The sequence below is a fragment of the Homo sapiens genome, chromosome 16, assembly GCF_000001405.40.
Source record: "Homo sapiens chromosome 16, GRCh38.p14 Primary Assembly".
Taxonomy (NCBI): domain Eukaryota; kingdom Metazoa; phylum Chordata; class Mammalia; order Primates; family Hominidae; genus Homo; species Homo sapiens.
The window spans coordinates 29,102,274-29,117,873 of NC_000016.10; the positions used below are offsets into that span (position 1 = coordinate 29,102,274).

The window sequence follows — 15,600 nt, forward strand, 5'->3', positions numbered from 1 at the left end:
ACGCCATTCTCCTGCCTCAGCCTCCCAAGTAGCTGGGACTACAGGCACCCACTGCCACGCCTGGCTAATTTTTTTGTATTTTTAGTAGAGATGGGGTTTCACTGTGTTAGCCAGGATGGTCTCGATCTCCTGACCTCATGATCCGCCCGCCTCGGCCTCCCAAAGTGCTGGAATTACAGGCGTGAGCCACCGCGCCCGGCCAGGAGGTGGATTTAAACGTGATACATGTTTGCTTTTCCCAAAATTGGGATTTAGGGCTCTTCACCAGAAGTGGCCCTTCCTCGCTGTTGATGAGCATCTCGTGGTCTCCCTGTGTATATTTCACAGATGCAAAGTAGAGGATTTCTAGCAGGACTTGCTGAGTGGTGCAGGCACCCCAGAGTGGGTAGATCTTTGCCTCACTAGGAGCCAGACTGACATCAAGGGTTTTTTGGGTTTTTTTTTGTTTTTCTTTAAACTGTTATTTAAACATGTAAGGTTATGGGGATAATGGTGCCAGGATAGGGGAGGGTGCTGTCTTTTCTTGCTTCATAATTTTCTGCCAAGTGTCTTGTTCCTTCCTCTAGAGACCACATCCCATTCTGTTGCACAGGATAAACAAAAAACAAACAATTGGCTGGGCGTAATGGCTCATGCCTGTAATCCGAGCACTTTGGGAGGCTGAGGCGGGCGGATCACTTGAAGTCAGGAGTTCAAGACCAGCCTAGCCAAGATGGTGAAACCCTGTCTCTACTAAAAATACAAAAATTAGCCGGGCATGGTGGTGGGCGCCTGTAATTCCAGCTACTCGGGAGGCTGAGGCAGGAGAATCGCTTGAACCCGGGAGGTGGAGGTTGCAGTGAGCCGAGATTGCACCACTGCACTCCAGCCTGGGTGAGAGAGTGAGACTCTGTCTCAAAAAACAAAAAAAAAAACCAAAAAGCGATTTATCTAGATGAGTTATTCTAGAAAACCACTGGGCCAGCCTTAACTTGGCACTTGTATAAGGAAGCAGGATTTTTGCTTATTATGGTATCTAAAATAACTAGCAGCATCATGACCATCTGGGGTTGTCTGGTCCCTGAAGTCTTGGTTGACTGAAACCAGATTAGTTGTTTTTCCTAGACTTACTTTTCAGCAAATTACTACAGAAATATAAAAAAGAGAGTTCCAGAATATTGCGGTTTCATTTCCATTTGGATATACTGTATCTAACTGACTTGTCAGTTTTTGTAAAGTTTAGAAACAATTTCACATGAAAATGGAAAGATGAAAAATGGTAGTTCAATACTCCATCGACATGAGTGAATGAACTCTTATACAGAAAGAGCCACATTAGTTACAGCATTTACATAGAGGGTTGTTTTTTTGTTTTGTTTTTTTCTTTTTCTTTTTTTTTTTTTTGAGACAGTCTCGCTCTGTCGCCCAGGCTGGAGTGCAGTGGCATGATATCGGCTCGCTGCAAGCTCTGCCTCCCAGGTTCAGGCCATTCTGCCTCAGCCTCCTGAGTAGCTGGGACTACAGGCGTCCGCCACCACACCCGGCTAATTTTTTGTATTTTTAGTAGAGATGGGGTTTCACCGTGTTAGCCAGGATGGTCTCGATCTCCTGACCTCATGATCTGCCCACCTCAGCCTCCCAAAGTGCTGGGATTACAGGCGTGAGCCACTGCGCCCAGCCAGGTTTTTTTAAATGTAATTATTTAAGCTGTAGTTTTCACTTCTTGGTTTTGGGTAATAGATCTTGTGAGAAAAGATCCAAACCAATTTTGACTTCTGCTGAAGTATTTAACTTGACTTTGAAATGTGATCTTTGTTGACAGGTCAAAGAAATTCATTGATCCTATTTATCAGGTATGGGAAGACATGAGTGCTGAAGAGCTACAGGAGTTCAAGAAACCCATGAAAAAGGTCAGTTTGTGATTGATTGAGCACACTCTCGGAATCTCCTTTCTGGTTCCAGGTCACAGTCAGATAGTGATAGTAAGTGGCAAGTCGCTCATGGGTGTAATCCCCACACTGTAGGGGGTCAAGGCCAGAGGATTGCTGGAGACCAGCCTGGGCAACACAGTGACACCCTGTTTCTACAAAAATTTTTTAAATTAGCTGGGCGTGGTGGTGCACACCTGTAATCCCAGCTCCTCTGGAAGCTGAGGTGGGAGGTCAAGGCTGCAGTGAGCTGTAAATGCAGCATGGCATTTCATCCTGGGCAACAGAGCAAGACCCTGTTTTCTTTAAAAAAGCACACCGAAACCGTGTCTTACTCATTCTGCCTTTATAAAATTCCAGGCCCAGGTTTTGTTGTTATTTAAAGAGTCTATGGCTTTTTTGGATAAATTGCTTAAACCAGACACTTCACATACTGACATGTGAGAAGCGAAGGTTAATTACAAATTAGCTGAACAAATTTAGATCTTTGCCACTTGCGCATTCTCACCAAGTAACAATCTCCAGTTGACTCATGTTGAAATTGCCCCAGCAGTTTACATTAGTTTTATAGATCTTCATGAATGGGTGGTGAAGACGCAGGTTGCAACATACCCTCCAAGTCACATGAGGTGGAGCTGAGACAGTTACAGTTAGAGAGGAAAGTTAGAATCCAGTAATAAAGAATTTCGCTGCTCTGTTGCTTGGGAGCACATTTGTTCTCTCATTAAAAGCAGCTTCAAGATGGCTTTTTTGTTGTTGTTTTTCATAAGTAATCATTAATAAGTAATCATTGGAAAGCCCCACCACACCCAACCAATTAGCTGCGTGTGGTGGCAGGCATCTGTAATCTCAGCTACTCAGGAGACTGAGGCAGGAGAATTGCTTGAACCTGGGAGGCGGAGTTTGCAGTGAGTTGAGATTGCACCGCTGTATTCCAACCTGGGCGACAGCGCCAGACCCTGTCTCAAAAGAAAAAAATAATAATAATATAAAGTGACCAGGTGTGTTGACTCACGCCTGTAATCGCACCACTTTGGGTGGAAGCAGGAGGATCACTGGAGCCCAGGAGTTTGAAACCAGCCTAGGCAACATAGTGAGACCCTGTCTCTATATTAAACACACACACACACAAAGGCAGCCAGACTATGCACTAGGAACTGCCCTGGGAATCCCTTTGTGTTCTCACAACAATCCCATTTCACAGATGAAGAAATCAAGGCACAGAAATATTAAGTAACGTGTCCAGGTGCGGTGGCTCACACCTGTAATCCCAGTACTTTGGGAGGCTGAGGCAGGCAGATCACAAGGTCAGGAGTTCGAGACCATCCTGGCCAACATGGTGAAACCCTGTCTCTACTAAAAATACAAAAGTCCTAGGGGTAGTCAGCCGCTCTCACCCCTCCCTCATCCTCTCACACAAGAGTCATTTACTGTCCCTCCAGTTATGCCCAGTCACGCAGACACTCTGCTGCTCAAATGCCCTCACCCCATCCTCAGCCTGCTCCCAGGCCACCTCCCTCCAGAATCCACCCTGCCTGCCAGGTGGCCATAGGGACCCTCGCCATACTGTCTGCTTGTGGCAGTGCCCTCCGGCCTGGGGGGTCTTCCAGAGCAGATCTCTGGCCAAGCGCAGTGGCTCATGCCTGTAATCTCAGCACTTTCAGAGGCTAAGGCAGGTGGATCACCTGAGGTCAGGAGTTCGAGACCAGCCTTGCTAACATGGTGAAACCCCGTCTCTACTAAAAATACAAAAATTAGCCAGGTGTGGTGGTGCACGCCTGTAGTCCCAGCTACTCAGGAGGCTGAGGTAGGAGAATCTCTTGGACCCGGGAGGTGGAGGTTGCAGTGAGCCGAAATGGTGCCACTGCACTCCAGCCTGGGCAACAGTGAGACTCTGTCTTAAAAAAAAAAAAAAAAGATCTCTGATATAAGCTCCCCTGGCACACAGTGAGCTTCCAGAAATGGTCCCTCGACCTCTAAATCCACCAAGACCCAGGGAACACGCCCACTCTGAGCACCCTGACAATGTCCCAGTCCCAACACGGTACCCTGAAGCTGTCCCCAAAGTTTCCCCTGCCACACTCCCTGACCACACTCTGGTATCTCAGAGCCCTAGCAACAGCCCTATAGAGGGAGGGTTCTAGGCATGGGGCAGGCATGAGCACTGCTTATAACCAAGCAAAACACTCCCTCTGTGCCAACATAGGTGGGGCAGGTCACGCTGGGGTCTGTTTGCCCTGTCTGCCCGCTGCAGCCTCCTTGGGGAGGGCCAGGGTTGTCTGTGCATCCTGTGAGCCCCAGGGTCTATGTGCACATATGTGTGTCTGTGCCTTTCTCTCTCTCTCAGTTTGTGTGTGTGTGTGTGTGTGTGTCTGTGCTGCTCTCTGTGTGTGTGTGTGTGTGTGTGTGTGTGTGTGTACACGGCGCATCTGAATTGTCCTGAGTGCTGTCTCGGGTATCCTTGAGCTGTGTGTGCATGTGTCCCCCTAGCAGTATCTCAGTATTTTTGCCTGTGGGAGCTGCACACCGTGAGCTGCACACCTGAGGGCCAGGTGAGTCTGGGGCTGGTCCTGTGCCTGCGCATCTGTGTGCTGGCGGTGTCTGCATAGTATTCTGTGGCTACATGTATCTGTACACCCCAGAAATGGGCAGTCACCCAGGAGACCTCTCTACAGTGAACCCAAAGGATGGATAGTGGGGTAGGGACAGTATGTTCTTTTTTTTTGGTCACCGGGGTCTGTTGTACAGGGGCACAATATATTCTTCTCCCACCCCCAAGCTGGGCCCTTTCTGCCCCTGCTCCTCCCACCCTCTGGTGTCTCACATCTCAGGGACAGGTGGAATGAAGGATAAGTTCGCGGACCCCAGATCAGGACAACCGGGAAGCTTCCGGGCTGCTGGAGAGGGTCACAGCCGGTTAGGGGAGGGAGCCAGGAGAGGACTCTGTGGCCCTGGGGAAGGGCTGGGCTAGTTCTGGGTCCCTGGGAGGAGTGAGTGGGGGGCCCTGCAGAGGGCTGGGACCCAGAGTGTGGGTGAGCATTAGAAGAGCAAGCTGGGGGCTCTAGGGCAACTAGGAACTTGGAGAAGGATGGGAGGCAGGGCTGCTGGGTCCCTAGGAAGGGCTGGAGGAATCCCGGAATGCCTGAGTTCTGGGAAAGCCCTTTCCTCACTCACCCTCGCCAGACCTGGGGCCAGGTCCAAGCAGCAGCAGCAGCAGCAGCAGCAGGAGCAGCATGATTGGCAGGCACGCAGGTAGCGGCCCCATCGGAGGGTGGCAGAGGTGGGACGGTGCTGCCGGGCCACCAGAGGCAGCAAGCCCGGCGGACAAACACCCTGGCTGCCACGCCCTGGCCCGGCCCCCCCGACCTCACCTTCCCTCGGGGCCCAGGCGGAGCCAGCTAGAGGCGGGCACCTGGGGTGGTGCAATGGCGTCCTGATCTCTGCATCTTGGTCACTGAAGGGGCTCGAGAGGCCGCGAGGCGCTGGGGACAGGTCCGGGAGTCAGGCCCAGGAAAGTCTCCTCGGAATAAGGGAAGAAAAGGCGCTCTTTTGATGTTATTATTCCCCCAGCCCCTCCCCCGCTCACCTAATCCCGTGTGTACAGTGTCATGGAACCTTACCATGTTGTGTGTGTAATCCCCTGTGTGCAGTGTCATGGAACCTTACCATGTTGTGTGTGTAATCCCGTGTGCGGTGTCATGGAACCTTACCATGTTGTGTATGTAATCCCCTGTGTGCGGCGTCATGGATCCTTACCATGTGGTGTGTGTAATCCCCTGTGTGTGGCATCATGGAACCTTACCATGTTGTGTGTGTAATCCCCTGTGTGCAGTGTCATGGAACTTTACCATGTTGTGTGTGTAAGTCTGCTCTGTTAGCAGCTCCGCAGGATTCATTCACAGGTGCCCCCTCCACAGTTGACTCTTCTCTTTCAGAGGGCTCCTGGCATAGTCTGTCTGATTTTTCCTTTATACACAACCCTATAGGGAAGATCCTTGCATATATGTCTTGGCAAATAGATAAGTTCCTGGAAGTAGAATTGCTACATGTGTTTAAAAGTTTGTTAAGACGGTAACAGGTTTTCTAGAAATGTTTTACTAATTCTTCCACGGACAGTGCTTGAGAACAAGTTTTTTCTACACCTTTGCTAAGGCTGGTAATTTTTAAAAATGGTGTTGAAGGCACATGTCTACTTTGAAATCATAACTGTTTGTTTGTTTAAAGGAGACCCTTGAGAAATGAAACCCTAAATTTCAGGAACTTCATCTCTTCATCTGTGAAAACACTTTGTCCACACTTATTGTTTTAAAAAGATTTTTTTTTTTGGCCATAAAGTAGTATATGTTTTATTGTTCTGTTAAGTTTGAAGTGACCAGCCTACCACAGTTAGGTCACTGAGTGTTTCGGTTGCCTGGTTATTCTTTCAGGAATGTTTGAATCGAAATGCTCACAATTTATTCCCCCAGAAGAGAGAATTTTCAGAAATCTCCTAAGAAAGTCTGATGTCCGTTCATATGATCTGTTTGCTTTGTTAGTAGAGAAAACTACCTTTGGAGACTAGTTGTAGCATGGAAGGGGAAGGCAGTAGAAATAGTTTTGGGGTGAGGCGAGCAGTCCCAGGGGAACACGAAGGCAGCATTTCAGGAGTGCTGCTGGTTAGTTTTCCACGCCATCACTGCACATTATTTTACAAATCCCTGTTTCTAGTTCAGAAGGCAAATGACAGTTTCTTTAGAAAATGTAACACTGTAATCTTGTGAAATGAAAGTGTTCCAGTTACATCATTTTCGGTGATTTCAGAACCATTAAAGTTCTGACAGCCTACTTCCCCAATCTCTTTGTAGACTGTGGCCCAAAGAAGGCTTAGAGAAATAATTTTGAATCTTGATTTTGTTCCAACTCTGTTCCTTAAATGCCTAAGAACTGCGATTTCTTGAGTATTTGTTAAAAGCCTACTGTGTCAGCCAGGCATGGTGGCTCATGCCTGTAATCCCAGCACCTTGGGAGGCTGAGGCGGGCGGATCACGATGTCAGGGGATCGAGACCATCCTGGCAAACACGGTGAAGTCTCTACTATAAATACAAAAAAAATACAAAAAATTAGCTGGACGTGGTGGTGGATGCCTGTAGTCCCAGCTGCTCAGGAGGCTGAGGCAGGAGAATGGTGTGATCCCGGGAGGCGGAGCTTGCAGTGAGCTGAGATCGCGCCACTGCACTCCAGCCTGGGCGACAGAGCAAGACTCGGTCTCAAAAAAAAAAAAACAAAACCTACTGTGCACAGAGCTCCAAGGCCTGCCCCAGTACAAAGCCTGCAGTCTCTGACCCAGGAGAAAGTGTGCACAGCTGCAGGTACCTTGATGTGTCAAACACATTTGCATTCATAGTAGGTTTAAAGTACTTTCCTTGTCTCGAAAGTATGCATCTAATAAAGTTTAACAGGATAGTCAAGAAAGTAGAAGAAATAAAAATTTCCCATAATTCTACTGGTTGTAGCAGCTTTTAAATTGTTGACGTGTATGTCTTTCCAACTTTTCCTTATTTTTATTTAAAAGAAAGACTTCTAGGATCATCTGACTTGGCGTGTACCGACTATGGCTTGTGCTTACTCTACCTGTCTGAATGCAAAAATTGTGACTTGCATCAGGCCTGTCACTGCAGTTGATTGATTGTGATATCTTTATTTACTTATTTAAGACAGAGTTTTGCTCTGTTGCCAGGCTGGAGTGCAGTGACGTGATCTCGGCTCACTGCAACCTTTGTCTCCTGAATTCAAGTGATTCTCCTGCCTCAGCCTCCCAAGTAGCTGGGATTACAGGTGCCCGCCACCACGCCCAGCTAATTTTTGTATTTTCAGTAGAGACGGGGATTTCACTATGTTGGCCAGGCTGGTCTCAAACTCCTGACCTCAGGTGATCACTCACCTCGGCCTCCCAAAGTGCTGGGATTATAGGCGTGAGCCACTGCACCCAGCCTGATTGTGATATCTTTAAAATGAACAAGGAGTTCTTTGGTCTAATTCTAAAAGTAATGCATACAAAATTATAAAAAGCAACACATACAAAAAGCAGCAAAGTACAAAGAAGAAAATAAATGTCACTTGCTGTCCCACTACCTGTGGAGTCATTACTGGAGTTACTGCACACCTCTCTTCTGCCGTTATGACGAAACTAGCTCTGTGACCCCAGAGAAGTCCCGTAACCTTCCTGGACTTGTTTTCTTCTCAGCAAACTAAAAGGTTAGAGTAATGAGTACAAGGGTCTCTCTCTCTGTTCTTCCAGGCCTTGTGTGATGACCAGTTTCCAGTGAGAGTAAAGAGCCTTTGACTGAGGTCCTGAGAAACTTTGACTAACCACAGGCACTTGTAGGCATGGATGGAGTTTTAAAAGTTTCATGAAGTGAGAATTCATCTGCAAAGGCTTAGGTGGAGATGGTTGATGCGCTCCCTGCCTGTAAGGAGTCCTGAGGCCGAAGGCAGAGCTGTGTGCTGTACTCAAGGGACACCCCCACCTCAGCCCCTGAGTAGCTGGGACTATCGAGGCTAATAGCTTAAAGTTTTTAACAGTAATACCAGTGTGTGACCAGTGTGTCATAGGTGCTGATAATCAAAACTGTCTCAACCTTAACACACTAAGTGACAGAACCCCGACCCTCCCAGGCACAGCTGAGACCAGCTGCCCCCATCACACAGCAAGCGTCAGGTGATCATCACGGCTTCCCACAGGATAAGCAACTCGGCCCCAGCTCAGGGCGGCCACAGTGTGGTCCCAACCTCCTTCCTTTGTCTAAAATTGACTACAAAAACAATGTCAAAGATAACCTCAAAATCAAAGACCAAAATCGGCTGACAGTGGTCCTTGGCTTTGGATAATTTCCCACCAGGTAGATCAGATTTGACTGCTTTTGCCTAGGACCTGTGAGACGTTCCTGTTAGAACTGCAGGACAATTCAGCATCTTTCAGTTTTAGAGTTTTGAGATGAATCATCTAGTGTGTACAGGCTTAAAGGCATGGACACTCTTTTGTTTTCCTGTTAAGATCTTCTTCGGAATGTCAATCTATGTAACACGTCTGAGGGGAGTTGCTTTGGTGGAGGTGGAGGCAGGGACCAGAGGGGACTGTGCACTTGGCTTTCCTCTAGCACCTGGAGAATCTGAATGCCAGCCAGGAGTGCTTCATCCACATCGGTGGGCAGCCTTGTGTGTAAGGTGCTGGGAGGGCGGTCTGCTGTGGGGTGGGTGCTGTGACCTTGTTGGTGTCACAGTATAAACAGGTGTGAGTTGAGACCCTTCCAGGAATGCCTTCCCGAACAAGGCGGCATTTGAGTGGGGCTGGACAGAAGGTGGTTAGATTTCCCTGGTGGAGGTGGCTGGAGGGTTGGTAGTATGGGAAGGGCTGGGGCACAGCACCAGCAGAGCGGGGCAGGTGTCATCTGGCCACAGTGAGGTCATCCTCCTTGGCTGTGGTGTTGGTGCCCTTGAAAGCAGATGGTGTGCCAAGGTGTGCAAGTGCTGAAAGGCATTCCCAGTGGCCAGCATTCAGATTTCTGATTTTTTTCTATCAGAAATGTTACAGTAAGCGTGCTCATATGTATGCGTGTATATAATATCTATTCTTATATGCTGGCATTCATTTTTGTAAATAGTCACACACTGGTATTACTGTTAAAAACTTAAAGCTATTAACCTGGATAGTCCCAGCTACTCGGGCTGAGGTGGGGGGTCCCTTGAGTACAGGAGTTTGAGTCCAGCCTGGGTGACATAGCAAGACCTCATCTCTTAAAAAACAAAAAACAAAAAACAAACAAGATGATTAATATTAACCCAGAGTCCGTATTTGTTGCTTAGTGAAGAAGAAGGCTGCAGACAAATCTGTTGATGAGGTAGATGGTCTCGCACCTCCCACATGTATGCCATTTGCTTATCTCTGTGTGAGCATGTAGAGTAGAGTGCGGTAGGAGTGCACTAGACAGTTCACACTGTCATTTCAGGCAAGGAAATGAGAAGAAAAAAACACTCATGGCACAATGTACAATCTTTAACAAGAACTGTTGACCTTAAACTTCTATCTATAACTGCAAATATGTAAATTTTTAAAAATTGACTAGGTCTAAGGAAAAGGACTAGAAGGGTCACAGACAGATAGAAATGTGATTTGCAGAGATGAGGCAATTGTGGCCGATTTTGGTCTTTGATTTTGAGGTTATCTTTGACATTGTTTTTGTAGTCAGTTTTAGACAAAAGGAAGGAGGTTGGGACCACACTGTGGCCGCCCTGAGCTGGGGCCGAGTTGCTTATCCTGTGGGAAGCCGTGACGATCACCTGACACTTGCTGTGTGATGGGGGCAGCTGGTCTCAGCTGTGCCTGGGAGGGTCACTTAGTGTGTTAAGGTTGAGACTGTTTTGATTATCAGCACCCATGACAATGTGATATTCAGTGTATTTTTTCCCCTTTTAGTTCTGGACCTGCAGATAGAGTGGCTTTGATTTTGGAATGAGGTGACCAACAGATAAAACTTTATTTTAAAGTTGGGAAGAAATCATTATTATCGATTGGGTTTTATCGTGGGTTTTCTCAAACCAAACAGGGCAGCCCCACAGAGCATTGAGTCAGAAGTCAGAAGCTTGCAGGTTTGGAGTTAGGACTGACTCAGTGGCACATTAATTACCCAGTGTCTGGGCTTTTCTTGGGATTAAGGAGTTATCCTATTTTTCTGCCTGACTGAGAATAAGTTTAAAAAGGTAAAATATGAAATAGGTTCTGCTGTTTCTCATTCAACCTTAAGGTGTCAGCACTGTTTACTATCTTAATGTTAAAATAATTCTGTAAAACTTTTCATGTTAAACATTTTTTTTCTCTGTCACTGATTTCAGTTGTTCTGGAGAATCATGTAGCGACAGATGAAGACGAACCTGCTTTGAAATGCCAGCGACTAGAAATCAATTGCCAGGATCCATCTATAAAGGTAAAAATCTGACTCTGTTCTGTGATGTGTAGTGCACTGCAGTGTTCTGTGATGTGTAGTGTGCTGCAGTGTTCTGTGATGTGTAGTGCATTGCAGATTTCAAGGGCTGCTATAACAAATTACCATCAATGGGATGGCTTACAAATGTAGCCTCTCAGCTGTGGAGGCCAGAGATCCAAAACCAAGATGCAGGCAGGGGCTCGCTCCCTCCAAAGGTTCTACAAGGTGGATCCTTCCTGCCTCTTCCAGCTTCTAGTGGCTCCGGCCCTGCCTCAGCTTGTGGGGCTCCTTCCAGCTGTGCCTTCCTCTTCATGTTGCTGCCACCTCTGTGTGTCTGTGACTGTTTCCCCTTCTCTCCTCTAGTAAGGACTTGTCATTGGATTTAAGGCCCACCCTAATCCAGGTTGATCTCATTGACTAAATTACATCTACACAGACCCAAAGAGTTTCTAAATTACATCTCCACAGTTTCCAAAGAGACCACATGGGTAGGTTCTGGCGGTTAGGATGTGGATATATCACTTTAGGGTGTGGCTATGTCACCAGGCAGCCTGCTACAGAAGAGTGTGAGCCATTTTTTCTCTTGAAGAGCACAAAGAGTAAGAATTGTTTACCTTGAGATGCTGCTGAAGGAGGCATCTTCCCACACACCTGCAGGCCCATTTTGGATGGAAGGAAAGTGAAATTTCTACCAGTGATGAATGACTTCTGTGTCTGCCATTTAAGTCACTTAGATTCTAAAGTTTACTAGATGGGGTTCTTGGGAACTGCTCATTCAGTTAATTATTTTTGGATCTTTGAATTTGCTTGGTTGGTTCCAGTGTTTGCAGTCACAGAGGTAAATATCGGCACATGTGAGAAGGTTATGAGAGCAACACAAAACCAAAGTCACTTTTCATATAATTCCTCTACTTACACAGGGTGTCTATTTGGTAATATTTAATTTGTTTTGTTAACAAGGAGAAGCAGTGTAAATGTGTATGAAAAACTTACAAATAAATTCACTGTAAAATGCCTATTTCCAACCAATGGATAGGATGTGGCTCTTTTAGTAAACACTGCGTTATCATTTCCTAAATAAAACGCAGTTGTGATTTTATCACAGAAGACACATCTATTACACATAGCACAGAAATATATAAAGTGGGCATGGAAGTGGCCCTGCCTTTGTCCTTGTCCCACTGTTGAGAAGAGGGTGGGCCCCCGGTTGAATGTGACTTGCGTAGAGTCGTGTGCGTGGCTCTAGGTTGTTTTATTGGTATATAAGAGTGATTTTTCCCAAAACCCCAGGCAGAATCATTGGTAATTCAGAATTAAAATAATATGGGTGTACTGTTTAAAGAATTTGAGAGCCAAACATTTGATGTTCTCTGGTTGTTGAAAATAGCGGGGTTATCAGTGGCCATTCAGGGATTCAGCCACCTATTGTTGCTTTTCAAGACGATGCATGTTTGTCATGCCATGGACCGTGCCTCCTTTGTAGATAAGCTGATTGAGTGTCATCACGTGGGCTTGGGTCCACCTGATGCCGTGGTTCCTTCCCTCTCTCACACGCGCCTTAAACAGAGAGTAGTCAGTCAGGGAGGGTGAGTTTCAGTTGGTTTCTTTAGCTCCTGTCTATATCAGTGCCCAGTGGTGAATCTTGCCAGGAGAGGTGGTGACCTGAGAAAAGGTGAGTTGTTGGGCAATATGTGGATTTTCCCTCCTGCAGTGCTGTCCCTGCCACTATGTACACCAGGTTTCCATGCCAGCTACATGTTGTAGGATATCACTGCAGTTTTGATATTCTGCAGATTCCCTTGAGATCAGAAAGGAGAGTGGGTGTAAGCAGTGTTGTAGGTCAGCTGCAGTTAGTGGGAAAGCGGTTCCAGCTTCAATGTGGGCCAGGCTCCCGCTCCCCCGTCAGTGTGGGACGGCCTCCCGCTCCCCTGTGCTGCGAGCTCCACGGCCAGCTCTCAGTGGCTGCCACAGTGCCGCCCCTGCTGTCCCGAGCCTACCTCCCCCTTCCTTCTGATGTGTGCACTTTGGACCCCACACTCTTTAGGTCATGGGCAGGAAAGGAGAGAGAAAAGACAAAACACAAATTCTGTGCTATTTTCAGCTGTTGATTCTTAAGGCAGGTGCCAGCCTTCCTGAGTACTAAGCAGGGCTGGTGGGCACTCCCCCAACCTGTCCCTCCCTAGACCCGAAGGAGTGTCCTTCTGTCTGCTGGTGAGACCTGGTGGAGGGTGTCTCTTTTGCACAGTGCAATTCCTGTGTGATTAACACGTTTCCACGTGTGCTCATGGTGGCTCCTGGATGGGACGGCAGCTAGGGAAATGAAGTTCTTCCCTTTCTGGTTTGTGTGTTTTCTGTTTCTTGGGTTTGGAGTCCGGCACGTGACTGCTCACTGTGGTTACTTGGAGTTAGAAATCCGGAGGAGACTCAGCCGGAAAGGTCAGACGTGGAGCCCGGCTTTGCCAACCACTAGGTGGCAAGCTTGCCGCTCAAGAGCCCCACGGGAGCCTCAGGACCAAATCCCAAGTCAGGGCCACAGGGGGTCCCGTCACCTTTTCCGATTAGGCAGCGGGGTGTGAGGTGAATGTGCGTGGCCTGTGGCTTTTATGCTGTTTCGATGTTAGGTGTAATCTGTTTTTATTGTTGAGAAGATTTGACTAGTTTTATATGTAAATTTACTGATTAATAATAACATATTAAAGTACATTTTTAAAATTAAATGGGCTTAACCAAGAATTGCAACTGCACATAGAAGTGAAACCATGACTAAATCATCACATTTGAAACAGGACGTGTGACTCGTGTGTAAAATGTGAACTTGTTACTCACATGTTTCTGGCTCATAGCTCAGAAGCTAGTTCCAGTGTGGGGATTGTTCTGTCTGAATAGATAGAGTTGAGATCAGGAAATAGCTGTTTGGTGTTTCTTGGGGTTGTCTTCTTACAGTTCAGGAGACCCTTCCTAAAGCCGGTCTTTTCTCACTTCCAGTCATTCCTGTATTCCATCAACCAGACAATCTGCTTGCGGTTGGATAGCATTGAAGCCAAATTGCAAGCCCTGGAGGCTACTTGTAAATCCTTAGAAGAAAAGCTGGATCTGGTCACGAACAAGCAGCACAGCCCCATCCAGGTTCCCATGGTTGCCGGCTCCCCTCTCAGGACAACCCAGATGTGCAACAAAGTGCGATGGTAAGAACAGACCAGGGTGCCGGGGCCTTCAGGTCACTTGGGGAGAAGCGCGTCACCTCCTCGCCCAGGCCCGCAGCTTAGTGGCTCAGTTTGCTGGAGATGCGCAGTGTCTGCCTCAGCAGTCTCAGCAGTTTCTAACTAAAGCTGACTTTAGTTAGACCGAAACCGAACACATGGCATCCTGCCAGGATGACCTGAAGTCATCCTCACCTTTCCTTTCCACATAAAGCCGGCCCATACACCTTTTCTTTGGAACTAACCCACCAGATCTTAGAAGATGTACACGTGCTTCTTTCCTTTTTCCTACTCTACCTGGCTAGTCTTTAGATATGTTTTTCTTCGTATGTGGTGTTTATACATTTCACATGAATATATCAAACTTTTCATTCAAATCTGCAGTTTTTATTTTGCTTATTTTTAAAAAGTAGAGTCTAATGAGTCTAATCTTAGAAGGCTGTGTGGTAGTTTGTGAACTGTTTGAGTGGAACCTTTATGATGTCTTAAGAAGTCTCGGACCTGCTTGGTGTCCACTCATCCAAGGCTTCCTGTCAGATATTCCAGCTGACAGCTCGCGCTGAAGCTCAGGCTCTGGTGTTGCTAACCTTCCCCACACCTGGCCAGAAAGAAGTCCTGCTTAAGGCAGTGGACACGGCACAGCTTTGTGCTTGACAAGGGGCCTTTTGACTGAGCGCTGCTCACTTCAGGTTCCCTGGCCTGGCTGTAGCCTTCTGCCCGGTGTGTCTGGGAGGAGAGAGAATGGTGGGACGGCAGTGGGGGGGCCGGGGAGGACATGTGGATGCCGAGGAATGGGAGCCGCAACAAGCCTGGAGGGACTGTTGTGACCTTGCTGCCCGTGTGTGCTGCAGGTGCCACCCTGCCCATGTGTGCTGGTGGCTGGTGCTGGGTTAGGTGCTTTGTGGACCTCGCCAGGGAGTGTGGGAAGTCTGGGGGCAGCTCCACATGATGGCTGCTGTGCTGGCTGAAGCAGTGGTGCCTCTTTGAGCTCTCGGGCATGCCGGAAGTTTTGGAAACGCTACCCGGCCGTCTTCCGAGCTCCGCTGCTGGTGGTGGAGTTGGCATCTCATTTCGCAGGCGGGAGCTGGGGATCGTTCACGTGTTACTCTGAGATGAGGCCTTCGCCCTGCACAAATGCTGTCACTCACATGTTTCCCCCCAGCAGGAGTTTGTTTACCATGTCCTCTGTGCAGGGACGCTGTTGGGCTCCCAGGTCAGGTGTGCAAAGCTGTTGGACCCAATGCCTTTTTTTTAGGATAGTTTTTTGGGGTAATGTCCTCTTACCCTAAAATGCAGTTCTTAGAAAATATAATTTATGTTTCCAAAAAAAAAGAAAATGTAATTTATAACTTATAGTTATTAGACTGCCCTAGCTGTAGAGAATGAATGTGATAGTATTGTGTAATAAGACAACACATTTCAACATGGTGATGGTTAGCCGTGAAAAAGCCGGACGTCCCACCTGGTGTGTTGCGTCCTGGTGACCGGGGGGCGGTCCCTGCAGATGGACCCAGGTGTGACACTGGGAGTTC

The 15,600-nt window shown here is 47.6% G+C and overlaps 1 long non-coding RNA gene and 1 pseudogene across 3 annotated transcripts in view, besides 1 other annotated feature; one reads left to right on the forward strand and one right to left on the reverse strand.

The window, feature by feature from the left end:
* Positions 1-14,445, forward strand: part of RRN3P2 (RRN3 pseudogene 2) — a 41,877-nt pseudogene extending 27,432 nt beyond the window's left edge. The window contains exons 15-17 of the transcript NR_003369.2: positions 1,802-1,889; positions 10,777-10,868; positions 13,854-14,445. The product of NR_003369.2 is annotated as an RRN3 pseudogene 2 (transcript). The remainder of the gene's footprint in view (positions 1-1,801; positions 1,890-10,776; positions 10,869-13,853) is intronic.
* On the reverse strand, positions 2,237-5,875 carry LOC101928215 (uncharacterized). Of its 2 annotated transcripts, none has more exons than XR_001752356.2 (3): positions 5,756-5,875; positions 5,320-5,424; positions 2,237-2,866 (listed from the first exon to the last, which is right to left on the reverse strand). It is a non-coding gene; the product is annotated as an uncharacterized LOC101928215 (long non-coding RNA). The 2 variants fall into 2 exon arrangements; XR_950967.3 differs by having other exon boundaries at positions 5,279-5,424.
* Positions 12,854-13,402: an enhancer, noted in NCBI's record as "H3K4me1 hESC enhancer chr16:29126448-29126996 (GRCh37/hg19 assembly coordinates)". NCBI's record gives its function as "activates a minimal SCP1, AML or CMV promoter by ChIP-STARR-seq in naive H9 embryonic stem cells {active_cell/tissue: H9 hESC(naive)}" and the evidence as "EXISTENCE:reporter gene assay evidence [ECO:0000049][PMID:30033119]".
* Positions 14,446-15,600: the final 1,155 nt, after the last annotated feature.